Genomic DNA, 7,367 nt, shown 5'->3' on the forward strand with positions numbered 1-7,367 from the left:
AAAATAGCATAGGCTGAAATAAGCCCATCTGAAAGATTACATACTATATTGTTTATATCGTATTCTCAAAAAGACAAAACTATAGTGACAGAGAACAGTTCAATGGTTGCCCTTGAAATTGCTAAACAAAGAAAACATTTTCAATGTATCTAGGTAAAAAATAAATTCCAGAAAAAACAAAACTGTCTTTATCCTTTTACTCAATATAAAAAGCCAAATAAAGCAAAACAATGCTTATAGAGGGCTGAAGGATAGGGCAGAGATTTCTGATCCCAAACTTAACTTATGGCTTAACATCTCTATTATGTGTAAGGGAAGCAAAAAATGTAATATGAGATATGCAAGAGTGCAGGGAGGAGCCAAGATGGCCGAATAGGAACAGCTCCGGTCTACAGCTCCCAGCGTGAGCGACACAGAAGACGGGTGATTTCTGCATTTCCATCTGAGGTACCGGGTTCATCTCACTAAGGAGTGCCAGACAGTGGGCGCAGGTCAGTGGGTGCGCGCACCGTGCGGGAGCCTAAGCAGGGTGACGCATTGCCTCACTCGGGAAGCGCAAGGGGTCAGGGAGTTCCCTTTCCTAGTCAAAGAAAGGCGTGACTGACGGCACCTGGAAAATCCGGTCACTCCCACCGGAACACTGCGCTTTTCCGACAGGCTTAAAAAACGGCGCACCACGAGATTCTATCCCGCACGTGGCTCGGAGGGTCCTATGCCCATGGAGTCTCGGAGTCTCGCTGACTGCTAGCACAGCAGTCTGAGATCAAACTGCAAGGCGGCAGCCAGGCTGGGGGAGGGGCGCCCGCCATTGCCCAGGCTTGCTTAGGTAAACAAAGCAGCCGGGAAGCTCCAACTGGGTGGAGCCCACCACAGCTCAAGGAGGCCTGCCTGCCTCTGTAGGCTCCACCTCTGGGGGCAGGGCACAGACAAACAAAAAGACAGCAGTAACCTCTGCAGAGTTAAATGTCCCTGTCTGACAGCTTTGAAGAGAGCAGTGGTTCTCCCAGCACACAGCTGGAGATCTGAGAACGGGCAGACTGCCTCCTCAAGTGGGTCCCTGGCCCCTGACCCCCGAGCAGCCTAACTGGGAGGCACCCCCCAGCAGGAGCACACCGACACCTCACACGGCAGGGTACTCCAACAGACCTGCAGCTGAGGGTCCTGTCTGTTAGAAGGAAAACTAACAAACAGAAAGGACATCCACACCAAACACCCATCTGTAAATCACCATCATCAAAGACCAAAAGTAGATAAAACCACAAAGATGGGGAAAAAACAGAACAGAAAAACTGGAAACTCTGAAAAGCAGAGCGCCTCTCCTCCTCCAAAGGAACGCTGTTCCTCACCAGCAACGGAACAAAGCTGGATGGAGAACAACTTTGACAAGCTGAGAGAAGAAGTCTTCAGACAATCAAATTACTCTGAGCTACGGGAGGACATTCAAACCAAAGGCAAAGAAGTTGAAAACTTTGAAAAAAATTTAGAAGAATGTATAACTAGAATAACCAATATAGAGAAGTGCTTAAAGGAGCTGATGGAGCTGAAAACCAAGGCTCGAGAACTACGTGAAGAATGCAGAAGCCTCAGGAGCCGATGCAATCAACTGGAAGAAAGGGTATCAGCGATGGAAAATGAAATGAATGAAATGAAGCGAGAAGGGAAGTTTAGAGAAAAAAGAATAAAAAGTAATGAGCAAAGCCTCCAAGAAATATGGGACTATGTGAAAAGACCAAATCCACGTCTGATTGGTGTACCTAAAAGTGACGGGGAGAATGGAACCAAGTTGGAAAACACTCTGCAGGATATTATCCAGGAGAACTTCCCCAATCTAGCAAGGCAGGCCAACGTTCAGATTGAGGAAATACAGAGAACACCACAAAGATACTCCTCGAGAAGAGCAACTCCAAGACACATAATTGTCAGATTCACCAAAGTTGAAATGAAGGAAAAAATGTTAAGGGCAGCCAGAGAGAAAGGTCGGGTTACCCTCAAAGGGAAGACCATCAGACTAACAGTGGATCTCTTGGCAGAAACCCTACAAGCCAGAAGAGAGTGGGGGCCAATATTCAACATTCTTAAAGACAAGAATTTTCAACCCAGAATTTCATATCCAGCCAAACTAAGCTTCATAAGTGAAGGAGAAATAAAATCCTTTACAGACAAGCAAATGCTGAGAGATTTTGTCACCACCAGGCCTGCCCTAAAAGAGCTCCTGAAGAAGCGCTAAACATGGAAAGGAACAACGGGTACCAGCCGCTGCAAAATCATGCCAAAATGTAAAGACCATCGAGACTAGGAAGAAACTGCATCAACTAACGAGCAAAATAACCAGCTAACATCATAATGACAGGATCAAATTCACACATAACAATGTTAACTTTAAATGTAAATGGACTAAATGCTCCAATTAAAAGACACAGACTGGCAAATTGGATAAAGAGTCAAGACCCATCAGTGTGCTGTATTCAGGAAACCCATCTCATGTGCAGAGACACACATAGGCTCAAAATAAAAGGATGGAGGAAGATCTACCAAGCAAATGGAAAACAAAAAAAGGCAGGGGTTGCAATCCTAGTCTCTGATAAAACAGACTTTAAACCAATAAAGATCAAAAGAGACAAAGAAGGCCATTACATAATGGTAAAGGGATCAATTCAACAAGAAGAGCTAACTATCCTAAATATATATATGCACCCAATACAGGAGCACCCAGATTCAAAAAGCAAGTCCTGAGTGACCTACAAAGAGACTTAGACTCCCACACATTAATAATGGGAGACTTTAACACCCCACTGTCAACATTAGACAGATCAACAAGACAGAAAGTCAACAAGGATACCTAGGAATTGAACTCAGCTCTGCACCAAGCTGACCTAATAGACATCTACAGAACTCTCCACCCCAAATCAACAGAATATACATTTTTTTCAGCACCACACAACACCTATTCCAAAATTGACCACATACTTGGAAGTAAAGCTCTCCTCAGCAAATGTAAAAGAACAGAAATTACAACAAACTATCTCTCAGACCACAGTGCAATCAAACTAGAACTCAGGATTAAGAATCTCACTCAAAACCACTCAACTACATGGAAACCGAACAACCTGCCCCTGAATGACTACTGGGTACATAACGAAATGAAGGCAGAAATAAAAATGTTCTCTGAAACCGACGAGAACAAAGACACAACATACCAGAATCTCTGGGACGCATTCAAAGCAGCGTGTAGAGGGAAATTTATAGCACTAAATGCCCACAAGAGAAAGCAGGAAAGATCCAAAATTGACACCCTAACATCAGAATTAAAAGAACTAGAAAAGCAAGAGCAAACACATTCAAAAGCTAGCAGAAGGCAAGAAATAACTAAAATCAGAGCAGAACTGAAGGAAATAGAGACACAAACAACCCTTCAAAAAATTAATGAATCCAGGAGCTGGTTTTTTGAAAGGATCAACAAAATAGATATACCACTAGCAAGACTAATAAAGAAAAAAAGAGAGAAGAATCAAATAGACGCAATAAAAAATGATAAAGGGGATATCACCACCAATCCCAGAGAAATACAAACTACCATCAGAGAATACTACAAACACCTCTACGCAAATAAACTAGAAAATCTAGAAGAAATGGATAAATTCCTCGACACATACACTCTCCCAAGACAAAACCAGGAAGACGTTGAATCTCTGAATAGACCAATAACAGGATCTGATATTGTGGCAATAATCAATAGCTTACCAACCAAAAAGAGTCCAGGACCAGATGGATTCACAGCTGAATTCTACCAGAGGTACAAGGAGGAACTGGTACCATTCCTTCTGAAACTATTCCAATCAATAGAAAAAGAGGGAATCCTCCCTAACTCATTTTATGAGGCCAGCATCATTCTGATACCAAAGCCTGGCAGAGACACAACCAAAAAAGAGAATTTTAGACCAATATCCTTGATGAACATTGATGCAAAAATCCTCAATAAAATACTGGCAAACCAAATCCAGCAGCACATCAAAAAGCTTATCCACCATGATCAAGTGGGCTTCATCCCTGGGATGCAAGGCTGGTTCAATATACGCAAATCAATAAATGTAATCCAGCATATAAACAGAACCAAAGACAAAAACCACATGATTATCTCAATAGATGCAGAAAAGGCCTTTGACAAAATTCAACAACCCTTCATGCTAAAAACTCTCAGTAAATTAGGTATTGATGGGACGTATCTCAAAATAGTAAGAGCTATCTATGACAAACCCACAGCCAATATCATACTGAATGGGCAAAAACTGGAAGCATTCCCTTTGAAAACTGGCACAAGACAGGGATGCCCTCTCTCACCACTCCTATTCAACATAGTGTTGGAAGTTCTGTCCAGGGCAATTAGGCAGGAGAAGGAAATAAAGGGTATTCAATTAGGAAAAGAGGAAGTCAAATTGTCCCTGTTTGCAGACGACATGATTGTATATCTAGAGAACCCCATTGTCTCAGCCCAAAATCTCCTTAAGCTGATAAGCAACTTCAGCAAAGTCTCAGGATACAAAATCAATGTACAAAAATCACAAACATTCTTATACACCAACAACAAACAAACAGAGAGCCAAATCATGAGTGAACTCCCATTCACAATTGCTTCAAAGAGAATAAAATACCTAGGAATCCAACTTACAAGGGATGTGAAGGACCTCTTCAAGGAGAAGTACAATCCACTGCTCAATGAAATAAAAGAGGACACAAACAAATGGAAGAACATTCCATGCTCATGGGTAGGAAGAATCAATATCGTGAAAATGGCCATACTGCCCAAGGTAATTTACAGATTCAATGCCATCCCCATCAAGCTACCAATGACTTTCTTCACAGAATTGGAAAAAACCACTTTAAAGTTCATATGGAACCAAGAAAGAGCCCGCATCGCCAAGTCAATCCTAAGCCAAAAGAACAAAGCTGGAGGCATCACACTACCTGACTTCAAACTATACTACAAGCCTACAGTAACCAAAACAGCATGGTACTGGTACCAAAGCAGAGATATAGACCAATGGAACAGAACAGAGCCCTCAGAAATAACGCCGCATATCTACAACTATCTGATCTTTGACAAACCTGAGAAAAACAAGCAATGGGGAAAGGATTCCCTATTTAATAAATGGTGCTGGGAAAACTGGCTAGCCATATGTAGAAAGCTGAAACTGGATCCCTTCCTTACACCTTATACAAAAATCAATTCAAGATGGATTAAAGACTTAAACATTAGACCTAAAACCATAAAAACCCTAGAAGAAAACCTAGGCAATACCATTCAGGACATAGGCATGGGCAAGGACTTCATGTCTAAAACACCAAAAGCAAGGGCAACAAAAGACAAAATTGACAAATGGGATCTAATTAAACTAAAGAGCTTCTGTACAGCAAAAGAAACTACCATCAGTGTGAACAGGCAACCTACAAATGGGAGAAAATTTTTGCAACCTATTCATCTGACAAAGGGCTAATATCCAGAATCTACAATGAACTCAAACAAATTCACAAGAAAAAAACAAACAACCCCATCAAAAAGTGGGTGAAGGATATGAACAGACACTTCTCAAAAGAAGACATTTATGCAGCCAAAAAACACATGACAAAATGCTCATCATCACTGACCATCAGAGAAATGCAAATCAAAACCACAATGAGATACCATCTCACACCAGTTAGAATGGCAGTCACTAAAAAGTCAGGAAACAACAGGTGCTGGAGAGGATGTGGAGAAATAGGAACACTTTTACACTGTTGGTGGGACTGTAAACTAGTTCAACCATTGTGGAAGTCGGTGTGGCAGTTCCTCAGGGATCTAGAACTAGAAATACCATTTGACCCAGCCATCCCATTACTGGGTATATACCCAAAGGACTATAAATCATGCTGCTATAAAGACAGGTGCACAGGTATGTTTATTGCAGCACTATTCACAATAGCAAAGACTTGGAACCAACCCAAATGTCCAACAATGATAGACTGGATTAAGAAAATGTGGCACATATACACCATGGAATACTATGCAGCCATAAAAAATGATGAGTTCATGTCCTTTGTAGGGACATGGATGAAATTGGAAATCATCATTCTCAGTAAACTATCGCAAGAACAATAAACAAAACACCGCATATTCTCACTCATAGGTGGGAATTGAACAGTGAGATCACATGGACACAGGAAGGGGAACATCACACTCTGGGGACTGTTGTGGGGTGGGGGGAGGGGGGAGGGATAGCATTGGGAGATATACCTAATGCTAGATGACGAGTTAGTGGGTGCAGCGCACCAGCGTGGCACATGTATACATATGTAACTAACCTGCACAATGTGCACATGTATCATAAAACTTAAAGTATAATAATAAAAGAAAAAAAAAAAAGTAAAAGTCTAAATAAATATACTAAGGCGTCAATTCTTCTCAAATTGACTAATAAATGGATTCAATATAATCCCCTCCCAAAAAAAAAGAGATATGCAAGAGTGCAAAAAATATATTACCCCTGTAACTCCCCATGAAAAATAAGTAATTAAAAGCAATTAAACAAGTCTCAAGGAGCTAGAACATAGGCAAAGAAGATATTATAATTGGCAATGTTGCAGTTAAACACATGCATTAAACCTGAGTAGGTGTTAATATAGTTAAAATTTGAATCCAATATAAAAATTGAATCATTCTGGTGAAAAATACACTATATAATAACAATTTAGTAGTAATTAATAATAAATATTAATAAGCCATTTGTTAACAGTAAGAAATTATTGAATTTTCTGAAAAGATACTGAATAAAAACATAGTTTGAGTATATTTTTAAAATTTAAAGAATTTATTAGTAAAGTTTAAAATATCAAAGATATATTTTGAAATATTGGATTTCCCCTACATACTAAGCAAGTATACATAGATAGATAGATAGATAGATACATAGATAGATAGATAGATAGATAGATAGATAGATAGATAGATAGAGAGATAGACAGATAGATTGACTGATAGATAGATATCACATTTTCTGAAGTTTCTGTGTAGTAGAATGAATACTATTACTGCAAGGAAATATGACTCTTATTTCCAACTTACCTCTTTTCCCAGCCTATTTCTACTTCCCCATATTGATGGACCTTATTGTCTTGGAATAATATGCAATATGGCAGAAATTGTTTAACTGGAAGAATCTTGAGAGCAAGACCCTACCCAGTAAGAGGTATGAGAATTCTAATATGAAACCTTCTTTGAGATTTATTTGAGACAGAGAGACATGGAATAGAGAAATTCTGTTCTGTTCTGTTTTGTTTAGTTTATCCATGAAACAGTAGGTTAATCATTAATTTGACTGAGTTATTTTTATATT

At 39.9% G+C, this 7,367-nt stretch overlaps 1 annotated feature.

Moving 5' to 3' along the window:
- Nucleotides 684-1,317: an enhancer, noted in NCBI's record as "NANOG-H3K27ac-H3K4me1 hESC enhancer chr9:12334327-12334960 (GRCh37/hg19 assembly coordinates)". NCBI's record gives its function as "activates a minimal SCP1, AML or CMV promoter by ChIP-STARR-seq in primed H9 embryonic stem cells {active_cell/tissue: H9 hESC(primed)}" and the evidence as "EXISTENCE:reporter gene assay evidence [ECO:0000049][PMID:30033119]".

The sequence above is a fragment of the Homo sapiens genome, chromosome 9, assembly GCF_000001405.40.
Source record: "Homo sapiens chromosome 9, GRCh38.p14 Primary Assembly".
NCBI classification, from domain to species: domain Eukaryota; kingdom Metazoa; phylum Chordata; class Mammalia; order Primates; family Hominidae; genus Homo; species Homo sapiens.